The sequence below is a fragment of the Homo sapiens genome, chromosome 19 (genome assembly GCF_000001405.40).
Source record: "Homo sapiens chromosome 19, GRCh38.p14 Primary Assembly".
Classification (NCBI taxonomy): Eukaryota; Metazoa; Chordata; class Mammalia; order Primates; family Hominidae; genus Homo; species Homo sapiens.
In genome coordinates, this window is record NC_000019.10 from 18,831,541 (window position 1) to 18,846,141 (window position 14,601).

A 14,601-nucleotide genomic window follows, 5' to 3' on the forward strand; every position below is an offset into this window, starting at 1 on the left:
GGGAGCATCTACTATGTGCGAGGCACCCTCCATTTTACAGATGGGGAAACTGAGTTCCAAGCAGCTTTTGCCAGGAGTGGGAGCGCACCGTCCCTGCCCAGTCTCTCCAGTTGGGCGTTCCGAGACCACCTATGTAGGGTATTCGGCTAGCGCTCAATTAAACCGAAACACCGTCGCAGCGACCACAGGTGCAGACCACCAAGTCCACACCGCCAGCCGCCCGGGCGTCCCCAATTAGCAGTTGGGGCGGGACCAAGTCCTCGAGCTGCCGCCGCAGCGGCGGTTGAAAGCCCCACCCCCTGCGCGTGCGCGGTGCGCGTCCCGTCTTCCTGCTGGGCACCAGGCGCCCGCGAAGAGCGCGCGCGCTTCCGCCGGCGTCGGGCTCGCGCACGCGCACGGCGACGGCGGCGGTGGCGGCAGTTCCTGCTCTAGGCTGCGAGCGGCTGGCGGCTTCGAGGGGAGCTGAGGCGCGGAGGGGCTCGGCGGCAGCGGCGGCGGCTCGGCACTGTTACCTCTCGGTCCGGCTGGCGCCGGGGCGCGCGGTTTGGTCCTTTCCGGGCGCGCGGGGGCGACAGCGGCAGCGACCCGAGGCCTGCGGCCTAGGCCTCAGCGCGGCGGCGGGCTCGAGTGCAGCGCGGAACCGGCCCGAGGGCCCTACCCGGAGGCACCATGAGCGTGGAGGCGTACGGGCCCAGCTCGCAGACTCTCACTTTCCTGGACACGGAGGAGGCCGAGCTGCTTGGCGCCGACACACAGGGCTCCGAGTTCGAGTTCACCGACTTTACTCTTCCTAGCCAGACGCAGACGCCCCCCGGCGGCCCCGGCGGCCCGGGCGGTGGCGGCGCGGGAGGCCCGGGCGGCGCGGGCGCGGGCGCTGCGGCGGGACAGCTCGACGCGCAGGTGAGCGGCACATGGCGGTGCCGGAAGCCCGGGCCCGGCCTCGGCGCCTGAGACCTGCCCCGAACTCGCCTCGGGCCCGGCCTGTGTTTGGCCGGAGTCCCCCATCGCGGCCGGGCCTGGGGCGATCTGCCCCGGGTCCCCTACTCTGGCTCGGCCTGAGCTTACCTGCCCCAGGTCCTGCAATCTGCCCGGGCCTGGCCTGATCTGCCCCGGGTCCCCCGCTCCGGCCGCGACCTGGCTGAGTTCCTTCGGCCCCCAACTCCTGGGCCGGGCAGACTTGCCTCGAGTCCTCCACTTCGTTCGGGACCGAGCTAACCTGACCCTGTTCCTTTACGCCAGCTGGGTTTGCTCCCCCTCCTGGGCCCGGGCTGACCTGCCTTGTGTCCCACAATCAGTCTGGCCTGGAGTAACCTGCCCCCTGACTTATCTGAGTTCTTCCATTCCATCCGGGCTAGGGTGACCTGCCCTGGTCCCTCTTTCGCAGGTCTCGGTATTCTGCCTCGAGTTCTCCTACGACCTGGGCCGGGTCTTGCTCAGGCCGGAGCTTGAGTGACTTCCCTCAGTCCCTTTCCGGGAGTATCCAGGGTGACCTGCCCTAATCCTGTCTCTGGCCTGGTCCGGGGGTCCTGCCCGGTCTCCCCATTGGTGGGTCTGGCCGCCTGTCCCACCTCCCATCTGTGGTCGCAGCCATCTGGGCACCCCACCTTTCACAGTCACGGAGCGTAGGTTCGACTTTCCCCATGCATAGGGGCGCTGGCCAGCGGAAGGTTGAGGCAGAGAAGAATTTTTGCCTCCCATGGAGGAGCACATATTGGCTGGCTATTAAGATCATTCAGGAAGCAGGTTGTATTTTGTTTTTTCTTGCATCGCCTGTTGCTGAAACCGACCTGTTACATAACTTCACAACTCTTGCCTTGGAAAAGTTGGGTTTGAGTTTTGTTCTTCCAATAAGACAGCAATAATGGCTTTACATAAACGAGTCTGCCACGTTGGAAACTTATTTTTAATGATGTGGATGTTTAGAGAAGGTTACTTAGGTATTTTAAATGGGGGCTTGGGTTGGGAGAAGTATCGGGCATGCATTTCCTGGTCCTGGGCGCTGCTTGCCTGGGGTGGGAGAGGGGCTGGGGGGGTGGCGCGTGTTGCACCGGGGTCCTGGGGAATGTCCTCATCACCCTCTGGATTTCAGGTTGCTTTCACCTTAGGCTTGCTTTGTGCCTGACCTCTCGCTCAGGTTTGTTTTCCTGAATGCTCCGACAGGAAGAAGCTCCGAGGCTTACCTTGGCACAGGTGTCCCTTGGCATATGCTGGTGTTTCAGAACTGGGGGAACCACTCCTTGCTCATCCAGAGTGAGCTCAGACCCTGTCCTTGCATGGGGGGCTTACGTGGTAGTCGATTGAGTCACTCTCGTGGGTAGACCACCCACTTGGGCTTTCTTTTAGCCCCTAATGGAAGCAAAAAACATTTGACTCATTCTAACCCCATATTCCTTAAAATAGAAGGTGGGGTGTGAGGAGAACAGGTGTGCACGTATGGGTGTTTTTTTCAGTTTTGTTTACATTTTGCGAAGGGAGGGAGGGAGAGAGGAGAGTTCTCCTGAAGAAGGGAGTCTGAGCTGCGGAGGCCCCACCTCCTTGTAGTTTTCATGCCCTGTAGACCTTTCTGCTTCCGCAGCTGTGAAATGGGGGTGGCAGTTAGATTTTTATTCCTTTTAAACATAAAGGAAACCTAGATCCATGTGTGAGTCGACTGTATACGCTGTCTGTAATCTGACGTCCAGCCTGTCGGGGAGACTCGGTAAAGATCTCTGTGGAGCAGTGAGCCATGAGCGTGACAGCGCGGATCGGGGGGTTGGCTGGGTGTGAAAGGTAATCATTTTCTTGTGAATCCTTTTAACTGTAGCGAGCATAAAACAGCAAACCTGGGGCAGCCTTTAGTTCTGCTTTTGTTTCTGGCATTCCGTTTGGGATTAATTGTGGGGCATGTCCTTCTCTTTCAGTTGAAACAATTGATTTTTTTTCCTGCACCTGAACACACTGGGCTGTACAAAAGGAGAGCATTAAAACGCTCCCCTGGAGGTAAACATTGCAGTTGAGCTCACTAGAATTCTGACGACATCAGAGGGTTTGTCCTGTGCTACTTGTAATTGACCCAGATGCCCCACCCACCTGTTACCTGTAATTTGGATTTGTTTGTGGGGAATGGGAGTGGTACCCCTTTGCATCACAAGGGGAAGAACGGAATTTGGGGGCAAGGAAGTCTATGAATATCATTCAAGGGAAAGCGGAAGAAAGTTATCTCTTGTGTGAATTGAAGGCAGTGTCTGCTAAGATATTTGGGAAGACTTTCCCTGTTTGTCCTCAGGAGTTGGCCGTGTAACCAGCTGTTAAGTTGGGGGCTCCTGGAAACTCTCATTCTGCTTTTTTAATTTTTATTTTACTGGGGAAGTGGCTATCAGCTGTCAAGTGCCCTGCAGTCACTTTTGCTTAGCGGCTTTATTGAAATAGAATTCACTTGCCACAACATACAATTTACCCATATAAAGTGTACAGTTCGGCGGCTTTTATTTAGTATATTCAGAGTTGTGCAGCCATTACCACAGTAAACTTTAGAACATTTTTGTCACCCCAGAGATAAACCCTGCACCCCTTAGCCCATCCGTCCTACCTCCACAGCCCCTGGCAACCACTCACCTGCTTTCTGTCTCAAGATGTGCCTGTTCTGGGCATTTCACATCAACGGAATCATATCATATATGGTGTTTTGTGTCTGGCTCCTTTCACTCTGCGTGATGTGTGAGAAGTAGCTACAAGGTGAGCTTCGTAGCTGTTCCCTGGCCGAGCATTCAGGAAAATGAACCTGATCGAGGTTCATCCACGCTGTGGTATGTGTCATCATTTCATTCCTTTTTTTTTTTTGAGACAGAGTCTCGCTCTGTTGCCCAGGCTGGGGTGCAGTGGCGTGATCTTGGCTCACTGCAACCTGTGCCTCCCAGGTTCAAGCGATTCTCCTGCCTCAGCCTCCCCAGTAGCTGGGATTACAGGTGCACACCACCATGCCCCGGCTAATTTTTGTATTTTTAGTAGAGACGGGGTTTCACCATGTTGGCCAGATGGTCTTGATTTCCTGACCATGTGGTCCACTTGCCTCGGCCTCCCAAAGTGCTGGGATTACAAGCATGAGCCACCGCACCTGGCCAGCATTTCATTCCTTTTTAAGGCTGAGTAATATTCCATGGGTGGAATGGTCCAGATGGATGGACCATGTTTTGTTTATCTCGTCATCTGTTGATGGACATTTGGGTTGTTTCCACCTCTTGGCTTTTGTGAATAGCACTGCTGTGGCCATGAGTGTACAGGTTTCTGCGTGGATGTGTTTATAGACCTGCTGGGCCGCGTAGTAACCTTGGGTTTAATGGTTTCAGTAACTGCAAGACTGTTTTCCAGTGTGTAGCCACTTTCCATACCAACCCTACCTGAACTGGTTTTGCGCAGTTGGTTTTCCCTTAATGTGTGTTGAAAGACAGTGTGTCCCCACCGGGATGGGAAAGTGGCAGCAGGGGTGACTCCCTGCACTCAGAGCTGGTTCAGATAACACTCCTTTTCTTGTTTATGAAATGAAACTGATATTTATCAAAGCCCTTGAGATCCTGGGATGAAAAGCGCTGACACAGTATTGCCAAGTGTCCTTAAGATACAGGGACAGTTTTCGAGCATCTGACCTTTTCCTGGGCCCTTCTCTGCTGCCACTTCTCCTGCTCCCAGGACAGTGAAGGTAATTTCAGAAGTCCTTTGCATAATAGCTGGTGTTACAAGCCTTTTGGTCTGCCTGGTTGGAATATTTCCTCTTGACTGTAGCTTCTGCCCTGGATCCTCCAAACGGGAACTAGAGTGAAACTCTTAAGAGTTGGAAATACTGCTCAGTATTAAGAAGGAACAAACTATTGATACCTGCAACAACATGGATGTGTCTCATAATAATTACTTTTTTGTATGTGTCATTCATCATATGATTTAATTCATAAAAAAATTCTAGAAATTGCCAGCTAGCCTGCAGCAATAGAAAGCAGACCAGTGGTGGCTGGACAGAAAGGTGGGAAAGGGGAGGCAGGTGACAAAGGGCACAGGAAACTTGGGGGTAATGGACGTTTTTATTATCGTGATTGTAGTGATAGTTTTATGGGTGTTTAAGTACATTGATGTATGTCAGTTTCTAAAATGGCACACTAAACATTTGCAGCTTATGGTATGTCAGTTATGCCTCAATGAAACTGGAAAGAAAAGTCAGGGAGATACCACTATCCACCCATTTTTTTTTTTTTTTTTTTTTGGAGACGGAGTCTCGCTCTGTTGCCTAGGCTGGAGTGCAGTGGCACAATCTTGGCTCACTGCAACCTCCACCTCCTGGGTTCAAGCGATTCTCCTGCCCTAGCCTCTCGAGTAGCTGGGACTACAGGTGTGTGCTACCATGCCCGGCTAATTTTTTGTATTTTTATAGAGGCAGGGTTTCACCATGTTAGTCAGGATGGTCTTGATCTCCTGACCTCGTGTTCCGCCCTCCTCTACCTCCTAAAGTGCTGGGATTACAGCCGTGAGCCACTGCGCCCAGCCTGCCATACTTTTTTTAAAAGGCTGAAAGTGCTACTTGGGTTTTTTGTTTTTGTTTTAAGGCAAAGTCTCATTCTGTCACCCAGGCTGTAGTGCAGTGGCGTTATCATGGGTCACTGCAGCCTCGACCTCCTGGGCTCAAGCGATCCTTCCACCTCAGCCTCCCAAGTAGCTGGGACTACAGGTGTGTGCCACCACGTCTGGCTGATTTTTCTTTTTTTGTAGAGATGGGGTTTTGCCATGTTACCCAGGCTGGTCTTGAACTCCTGGGCTCAAGAGATCCTCTCACCTCAGGCCTCCCAAGTGTTGGAATTACAGAGTGAGCCATTGAGCCTGGCAAAAGTGCTGCCTGGAACTCTCATGCCATACACCTACCTGTGACCTAGCAGAGATGAAGGTGTGTGTACGCAGGGCTGCGCCAAATGCTGACAGCATCTCTTCATGAGAACCCCAAACCGGAAGCAGCCCCAGTGGCCATCAGCAGATGAATGGGTAAACAAAGCAGTGTGTACATCCAGTGGGAAAAATGTGTGCCTATTGGTTTGAGTTGCTTTTCTTAGCTCACCTGAAAGTATGAGGTCTGTGGGTAGGTACAGACCTTTTAGGCAGCAACACGCATGTTTTTGTGCAGGTGCTCTGGGTGACCTTGTAGATAGATGCTGCTTGGTACTGGTCCCACTTTGTTCCTTCATCCTCAGGTCAGGTCTGCACTGCCTGTTCCGTCTCCACTCCTGGTAGCCTGTGGGAGTCACAGCTGAATAGTCATCTCGTACTGGGATTTTACTCTGAGTGCATGAGTTGTTTCCCTAGGAAAAACATGCTGTCTTTCTGGATCGTAAGGGACAACTAGCTAAAGCTCCTAGCCGACCTGTCGTCCAGCCCTCACTCTCCTCCTGCCAGACTTCTCTGTATTGCCTCCACTTCTCTGAGTGTGTAAACCTGGGCTCACTTTTCCTTTTGAAGTGGTAAAATACTCAGGATAGAAAGTTGCTACTTTGTCTTCAAAGCCATTGTCCTGACCTATCCTTGACTGTCCAGGTGAACACACCATCTTCTGCTGAGCCCTGAGATTATGACCAAGGCGGGGTGAGTTCCATACAGTCTTGGGTTCCGAAAAGTGGTGAGTTTAAAATCTGCACATGTAGCTGGGCACGATGGCCCATGCCTGTAATCCCAGTACTTTGGGAGGCTGAGGCAGGCAGATCATTTGAGCTCAGGAGTTTGAGACCAGCCTGGGCAAAATGTCCATGATCGCACCACTGCACTCCAGCCTGGGTGACAGAGTGAGACCTTGTCTTAATAAAAAGAAGAAAATCCAGGCCGGGCTTGGTGGCTCACGCCTGTAATCTCAGCACTTTGAGAGGCAGAGGCAGGTGAATCACCGGAGGTCAGGAGTTCCAGACCAGCTTGACCAACATGGAGAAATCCTGTCTCTACTAAAAATACAAAATTAGCTGGGTATAGTGGCACATGCCTGTAATCCCAGTTACTTGGGAGGCTGAGGCAGGAGAATCGCTTGAACCCGGGAGGTGGAGGTTGCGGTGAGCTGAGATTGTGCCATTGCACTCCAGCCTGGGCAACAAGAGCAAAACTCCATCTTAAAAAAAAAAAATGCTCATGACTTCATTTTGGCTTTTTGAATCCTCTGGTAGCCCAGGTGTGGTTTTAGGGTGCCAGAACATTGGAGATAAGATGCCGTTTACCTGGAGGAGTGTTGGCAAGTGTTTGGTCAGCACTTACCCCTTAGTAGACTTACTGAGTGTGTTTTCAAATTGTTAGGAGTTTCCCAGTGATTATGTGAAAGTGACCTGAGCTGACACTTTACAGTTAGTGGTGAATACACGAAACAATTTCTATTTTTATCACAATTAATTACCCGGATTCAGGATGACGGGGTGGGGGATTATGACTAATACTATACCAGGACTAACTAAAAAAAGAGTTCCCTCTCAGCCTAGCTACCACCACCACAAAAGCTTACCACCATCAGCTACCACCACATTTCTCTCATTGCTTGATTGAAGTCTGATGACCTACCAGGGAACCCCCTTCTTTTCTTTTTAGACGGAGTCTCGCACTGTCGCCCAGGCTGGAGTGCAGTGGCGCGATCTTGGCTCACTACAACCTCTGCCTCCCGGGTTTAAGTGATTTTCCTGCCTCAGCCTCCCGAGTAGCTGGGATTACAGGTGCGCACCACCATGCCCAACTAATTTTTTTGTATTTTTAGTAGAGACGGGGTTTCACCATGTTGGCCAGGCTGGTCTGGAGCTCCTGACCTCAGGTGATCTGCCCACCTTGGCCTTCCAAGGTGCTGAGATTACAGGCATGAGCCACCACACCTGGCCCCTTTAAGTATAGAACTTAGTGCTGTTTTAGTAAATTTACGGAATTGGGCAGCCACCACAGCAGTGCCTTGCTGTCTCTGATTTCTCTTTCGCTCCTTTCCGCTCCCTCCCCACCACCCCTTGTCAGACCCTGTGCTCATGCCCAAGGTCACCCGTTAGGGAGGTGTGTCCACCGCCTCAGACTGAGCCCTGCCCTGGGGAGGTCAGAAACATGGCCAAGCCCTGGCCCCATGCTCCCCCGCCTTTAAGCCCCGTGTCTGTTAACTTTTGCACCCTCTGCGAGCTGCTGGGCAACCTCTTCAGCCTGGCCCTGGACTTCAGCCATCCCCTGCTGTTTTCTTACTTCCTGGCCTTGCTGTGCTTGTGGGACTGAGGGCAGTGAGGCCAGCAGAGGGAGAGTGAAGCCTTTGACCCCCGCGGTTGCACTGTTAGAAGACAGCACATGCCGCCTGGCCAGGGTGCTGTGAGGGCCCCAGGAGTAGGAGTGGGCTCCCCTGCTAAGGGAAAGCCTGTGGGAATGGCGCCTCTGGAGTTGTTCAGAAGCTGTACCTGCCAGGCAGAGGGGTGGGCACAGCACTTTGCCTAGAAGGAGGGAGGGTGGATGTGGGGCCAGTGGGGCCAGGGCAGGGGCTGGGCTGTGTCCTGGAGCCTTTAGGAGCTGCTGGGGTGCCTTGACCAAGGCTGGGAGGAGGGCTCTGAGATGGCAGTGGCGGGGGTTAGGGGAGGGGCTGTGGTGTTGGAGGTTGGGCATTGTGGCCCAGGTTGGACCCCGAATGGATGGAGGGGCCACAGGGCAGTGGAGACGGAGGACACCGGGATCAGGGCTGTGTGTGTACATGTGTGTATGCATGAGTAAGTGTGTAAGTGTGTGTGCCTGTGGGAACTGCCAGGGTACCGGCTGCCCCCTCCCAGTCCTCACAGGGAGCCACAGACTTAAAAAGCAGCTCCAGCTCCTGCCTGTGGTCTCATCAGGGTCCATAATTCCCCAGGCTGAGCCGGGGCTCTCTCCGCTGGGGAGGCACCGTCCTGAGGGCCTTGTGAGAGGGAGAGGCCTCCCCAGAGCGGCTGCAAGGAAGCTAAAGGGCACATGCTGGGCAGCAGCTCACAACTGAGGGGCAGTTTGTGCTTGTCATGGTGGTGAGAGTGCTTTCATGGTGGTCGGGATAGTCTAGCTTGGCAGAGAAGGGCCGTGACACCCAGCTGTGCTCTGTGGCATTCAGGGCCGAGGGGCCTGGCTGGAGGGGCTGGTGGGAGGAGTGGGTCCGGGCCCTGGCACCAGTGCTGTTCGGGGCTCCGGAGGGTTCATGGCCTTGAGCTCTCCTTGCTGGAGCACATACCTATGAGAGCAAAGTTCTGCTTTCTCTGATACATGGAGGGCTGCTGGGTCCTGGAGTCTGGTGGCTGGCAGCAGGTCCTTGTGCCTTTTTCTGTGTTGGTCGAATAGCAGCTTAAGAGCCGGGTAACCCAGCCGGGCTTCTCAGGTCCCGTGGGCCTTTGCCAGGATGGTGTCTAGATGTGTAAAGGTGGCTCGTTGGGCTCTAGAGAGCCCTTGTGACAGTGAGCATGGCATCTTCCTGAAGCATCAGCTCCTTGCAGAGCGAGTGCAGGCTCCTGGCGGCCCTGGGAGAGGGGGTTGCAGATCCCAGGCAGAGGTGTTTGGTCAGAGCTGCGCTGCCTGCACCGTCCTCACCTCTTTTTCAGTACGGGGATCCATGCGCATAGCTTGCAGCCCTGCTGCATCCTCCGTGTAGAAACGTCTACGATGAATTCTCTAACATACAAGAGCTGGTGAGCCCTGTGCCTCCGTCTCCCTGATGAGACAGTTGTGAAGGTTTTCTTCTCCCTGTTTTCTTTTTTTTTCTTCACTGGTGTGTGTTTTTAAAGCAAGTCTTTTGTGTCCTTTCACCTTTGTGTCTGAGGTGGAGCCCTGTGAATTGGCGATACTCAGCCATTTTGACCTGCAGTATGTAGTATGCATTTCTAGAAGCAGAAAAGGGCGCCTGTCCTGAATAGCTGCAGCGCCGTTATCACACAAGCAGCGTCAACAATGGCTTTTCACGATTGTCCGATATGTAGGGACAGTTGGCCTCTCTCCACAGCAGATTCTTTACTGGGATCCTGGAGGTCCGCTGTTGAGATGATGGCTGTCTCTGGGCCCTGCGTTCCGAGCGGCCTCTCCCGCTGCTTTTCATCTCGCCAAGCTGCAGTCTGGCCTGGGTTGTTGTCCTGTGAGGTGTGCACCTTCTGGACTGAACCCCTCATTGTCACACTTCAGCTTCTTGCTGAAGGTGTGGAGTGGATTTCATCTCAGGCTGTGGGCTCCAGGGAGAGTGGCTGATCCCCGGGCTGGGAAGGCAGGGGCGGCCTGAGGTGAGCTGGGGATGCCTTGCACACTCGGCCCGTTGAAATGAACCTCACGCGGACTCTAGCACACCTGGCTGGAACAAGGGTCTGCCGGTCCACACAGGTGCCATTGGTGAGAGGGGAGGCGAGAGGCCCTTTCTCTTTGGGAAGAACGAATGTGAGCCTAGGCAACATATTGAAAAATTAAAAAACTTTCTAGGCATTGTGCACACCTGTAGTCTCAGCTACTTGGGACGCTGAGGCAAGAGGATCTCTTTTAAGTTCAGGAGTTTGAGGATGCAGTGAGCTATGATTCTACCACTGCACTCCAGCCTGGGTGGCAGAGCAAGACCCTGTCTCAAAAAAATAAAGGAATGGAGAGCCTGGGGACCGCTGTGTCGGGTGGTGGGACTATGTGAAAGATGGTCAACTCCTAGCAGTTTCACGTGGTTCAAACTAATAGATTAAAGGTGGCTAAAGAGACATCACAAATCACGTGCAGTCATTAACTGGGACTTGGATTCTTAAAAACCTGTAAAAGACGTTATGAAGACATTGGGGTGATGGGTGAATGTGTATTAACCAACAGTGTGGCAGGCTGGGTGCGCTCATGAGCCAGCTGTTTTGTGGGGATGTGGAGAAAGCCCTCCCCTGGGGCCGGCCACTCTGAAATGGGTCAGGAAGAGATAAGTGTGTGAGAGCAAGGGGAGTCGGAGTGCAGGGGGATGTGATGGAGAGTGTCCAGCTGGAGGGGTGTGGGGGTCGGATTTCTGTAGCTTTGGAATTTTTCAAAATAAGAGGAAATATCAGGGCAGAATCCTTCCAGTTTGGGGGCCAGACCTCCTGGCAACCCTCTGCCTTGAGAGGGCTCAGAGACCCTGCAGCTTCTTGGCAGTCATCACTCTGAGGGTGTGGTGAACTTCCTATTCCCTCCCCTTTTTTTCCTTTACAATTTTTTTAATTAAAAAAAATTTGGGGGGGTGCTGGGTGCAGTGGCTCACACCTGTAATCCCAGCATTTTGGGAGGCCAAGGTGGGTGGATCACCTGAGGTTGGGAGTTCGAGACCAGCCAGACCAACATGGAGAAACCCTGTCTCTACTAAAAATAGGCGTGGTGGCGCATGCCTGTAATCCCAGCTACTTGGGAGGCTGAGGCAGGAGAATCGCTTGAACCCGGGAGGCAGAGGTTGCGGTGAGCCGAGATCGCGCCATTGCACTCCAGCGTAGGCAACGAGAGTGAAACTCCGTCTCAAAAAAAAAAAAAATTTAAATAGAGATGGGGCCTCACTATCTTGCCCAGGCTATTCTCAAACCCTGGGCTCAAGATCCTCCTGCCTTGGCCTCCCAGAGTGCTGGGATTACAGGTATGAGCCATCACGCCTGGCCTCCTGCCCTCTCTTTTATTTAAGCCTTGGAATTAGAGAATCAGGAATGAGCTGCTTTGCCTTTTGAGCTTGGCCTTTAGCCAACAATGTTGAGGGCCTCCTGGGGTGCAGGCTCCATCTAGGTGCTGGGCTCATGGCAGGGAGCAGGACAGACAATGCCCCACGGGGGCCTTGAGGTGGGGTCAGAGGATGCCTGCCTGAGAGGCACCCTGTGGACCTCACCCTGAGGCTGAGGGAACAGCAGGTGCAAGGCCTGGGTGCTGGCAAATGCAGACAGTGGTGCAAATGTTGGAGTAGATGTCTGCGGCCTGAGAGTTTATGATGGCACATTTGGGGGGATTTTTGAGTTTTTGAATTTCTGTGGTTTTCGTCTGTGGGAATGAAGTGACTTTCTTTGTTTTTTTTTTTTTTTTTTGAGACAGAGTCTTGCTCTGTGACTCAGGCTGGAGTGCAGTGGTGTGATCTCGGCTCACTGCAACCTCCGCCTCCTGGGTTCAAGCGATTCTCCTGCACGGGGATTACAGGTGCGCATCACCATGCCCAGCTAATCTTTTGTATTTTTAGTAGAGATGGGGTTTTGCCATGTTGGCCAGGCTTGTGTGTGTGTGTGTGTGTGTGTGTGTGTGTGTGTTGTTGTTAAGAGAGACAGGGTCTTGGTCTGTTGCTCAGGCTAAAGTTCAGTGGTACCATCATAGCTCACAGCGGCCTTGACCTGCTGGGGTCAAGCAATCCTCCGGCCTCAACCTCCTGATTAGCTGGGACTACAAGTGTGCGCCACCACACCTGGCTCGTTTGTGTATTTTTTTGTGGAGACAGGATCTTGGCTGTGTTGCCCAGGCTGGTCTTGAGAACTCCCGGGCTCAAGCGATCCTCCCAAAGTGTTGGGATGACAGGTGTGAGCCACCATTCCTAGCCTTGAAGTGACCTACTGTTGTGCTGCCCTGATGCACGGTCTGAGTTCTGGAGCATGTCTCTGGGCAGAAAGCCCCTGTACAGCTCTTAGATGGACTTCCAGGATGTGGTTTTAGTCGTAGCTAGGTTCACATCCAGAACTAAAGGAGTTAGAGACTCCAGCTCTGGGGCCTCGTGTATGACTAGGAAGTGGGAATTCTAGGATACGTCTTTAAATACTGTGTCCAGAGCAGAGGTGATGGGAGGAGCTGCTTTTTTTGGGGGCCGGGGGGGGGTTTGGGTTTTTCTTTTTTCTTTTTTTTTTTGAGATGGAGTTTTGCTCTTGTTGCCCAAGGTGGAGCGTGCAGTGGCACGGTCTCAGCTCACTGCAACCTGCGCCTCCTGGGTTCAAGCAATTCTCCTGTCTCAGCCTCCCAAGTAGCTGAGATTACAGGCACGTGCCACCACGTCCAGCTAATTTTTTTTTTTTTTGCCTTTTTAGTAAAAACGAGGTTTCACCATGTTGGCCAGGCTGGTCTCGAACTCCTGACCTCAGGTGATCCGCCCTGCCGAGGAGCTGCTTCTTGGTGAATGCCTGGGATGGGTACAGGGAGGCCTTGCCCCTCCAGAGCCTCCCTGGTGAGGGGATAAGTTGACAGCCTCAAAGGACTTTATTGGAGTGGCAGCTCTGTGCCAGCTGAAGATGATGACCCTCTTGTCCTTCACCCATCATGTCCCCTGGCGTGGGCTGTGGAACTTCTCTGTGCCAGGCACTGTCCCCTACTGCTGTTTTACCTCATTTCATGATAGTTCCTAGGGTCAAATATATTTTTGAAATTAATGTTTTATCTTGAAACTTTTCAGAGAGTGAAGGGAGAAGTTAACCCAGAAGTCAGCTTGTGTTGTGACCAGATCACTGCAGGGCAGCATTGGGCCCAGTGTGCATCTGTGCGTGCAGGTAGCACGTGCCCATGCACCCCAGCCAGGCGGGCTGGAGGGGCCTCTGTGGGGTGCTGCTCCCCATGAGCACCTGTCCCTAGGCTCGCACAGGTGCTGCATCACACAGCAAGGGCATTAGGCCGAGGGGCTGTCTGGGGTGCTGGGACTGGCAGTGGGAGATTTGGTGCCGTCCCTAGGGGAGCTCCCATCACTCCTCCCTGGCCCTTAATTTTGTGCCACCTTGTGTTCTGCCATGACACAGTGCTCCCGCTGCCTGACCCCGTGGTGGGGTTAGGTGGCCTATGGGGGCCATGCCAGGGACTGTTGGCCATGTCATTTGAGGTGCTGGTACTTGGGAGTGGCATGAGGAGCCCCAGTGGCTGTGTGGTCTCCTTGCAAGTGTCCTGTGCAGTTGTGGCCTGATGACTTAGAGCCATGCGCTGTCTGCCTTTGCTGAACATAGAAGAGGCGCCTTCAGTGAGGGTGTGGCCTCGGTTGCCAAGGGTATCTCAGTGTTCAGTTTCTACTTCATCCTCAGGAGAGGGCTGCCTTGAAGGGATGGGGAGGGTGAGGTGGCAGTGGATGTGGCCAGTGACATTTCCACATCTGCATGGGTGGCAGCTTCGTAGTGTTTGATGAGCCTTACACTGTGGTGGGTCTGGCATCATGAAGCTGTCCTCAGGGCACACTGCTGTCAGTCTGTAAAAGTCACCCTGCTCCTTGTGGTCCTCAGTCATGGGAAAGAAGCATCTTCCTAAGCATCCTGGTTGTGGGCATGGACATGGCTCTGTGGCTAGGCGGGGGTTAGACCAGCTGTGTGGGGGACCGGGGGGTGTAGAAGGCCACCAGTGGCCCTTTTTTGGCCAGGTAGGTTTGCTAGAGAAGAGTGAAATCCAGTCAGAACAAGGGAAACTGTCTCAAAGCAGAGATGAGGCCAGGGTGTCACACCAGAGTCATCGAGGCTGGTTCTTCTGCACTGAGTCCTGGAAGCTGCAGCCTCACTCAGGTGACACTGCGTTCTGCTGCAGGTTGGGCCCGAAGGCATCCTGCAGAACGGGGCTGTGGACGACAGTGTAGCCAAGACCAGCCAGTTGTTGGCTGAGTTGAACTTCGAGGAAGATGAAGAAGACACCTATTACACGAAGGACCTCCCCATACACGCCTGCAGGTGAGCTGAGCTCAGCTGGGCC

At 53.5% G+C, this 14,601-nt stretch overlaps 1 protein-coding gene across 5 annotated transcripts in view, besides 5 other annotated features; it reads left to right on the forward strand.

Moving 5' to 3' along the window:
- Nucleotides 223–482: a silencer, noted in NCBI's record as "silent region_10418". NCBI's record gives its function as "represses an Ori minimal core promoter by ATAC-STARR-seq in GM12878 lymphoblastoid cells {active_cell/tissue: GM12878}" and the evidence as "EXISTENCE:reporter gene assay evidence [ECO:0000049][PMID:35858748]".
- UPF1 (UPF1 RNA helicase and ATPase) overlaps nt 419–14,601 on the forward strand; it is a 36,272-nt gene continuing 22,089 nt past the window's right edge. For 4 of the 5 annotated variants that reach the window (XM_017027105.3, NM_001297549.2, XM_017027106.3 and 1 more), the window contains exons 1-2: nt 419–900; nt 14,440–14,579. In XM_017027105.3, the coding sequence (XP_016882594.1) occupies nt 670–900; nt 14,440–14,579 (371 nt within the window). In that variant the 5' untranslated portion in view covers nt 419–669. Of the gene's footprint in view, nt 901–2,133; nt 2,251–14,439; nt 14,580–14,601 lie in introns of those variants that run through there. The other variant, XM_047439191.1, reaches the window with a different exon arrangement.
- Nucleotides 603–702: a silencer, noted in NCBI's record as "silent region_10419". NCBI's record gives its function as "represses an Ori minimal core promoter by ATAC-STARR-seq in GM12878 lymphoblastoid cells {active_cell/tissue: GM12878}" and the evidence as "EXISTENCE:reporter gene assay evidence [ECO:0000049][PMID:35858748]".
- Nucleotides 853–942: a silencer, noted in NCBI's record as "silent region_10420". NCBI's record gives its function as "represses an Ori minimal core promoter by ATAC-STARR-seq in GM12878 lymphoblastoid cells {active_cell/tissue: GM12878}" and the evidence as "EXISTENCE:reporter gene assay evidence [ECO:0000049][PMID:35858748]".
- Nucleotides 953–1,032: a silencer, noted in NCBI's record as "silent region_10421". NCBI's record gives its function as "represses an Ori minimal core promoter by ATAC-STARR-seq in GM12878 lymphoblastoid cells {active_cell/tissue: GM12878}" and the evidence as "EXISTENCE:reporter gene assay evidence [ECO:0000049][PMID:35858748]".
- Nucleotides 2,614–3,166: an enhancer, noted in NCBI's record as "NANOG hESC enhancer chr19:18944963-18945515 (GRCh37/hg19 assembly coordinates)". NCBI's record gives its function as "activates a minimal SCP1, AML or CMV promoter by ChIP-STARR-seq in naive H9 embryonic stem cells {active_cell/tissue: H9 hESC(naive)}" and the evidence as "EXISTENCE:reporter gene assay evidence [ECO:0000049][PMID:30033119]".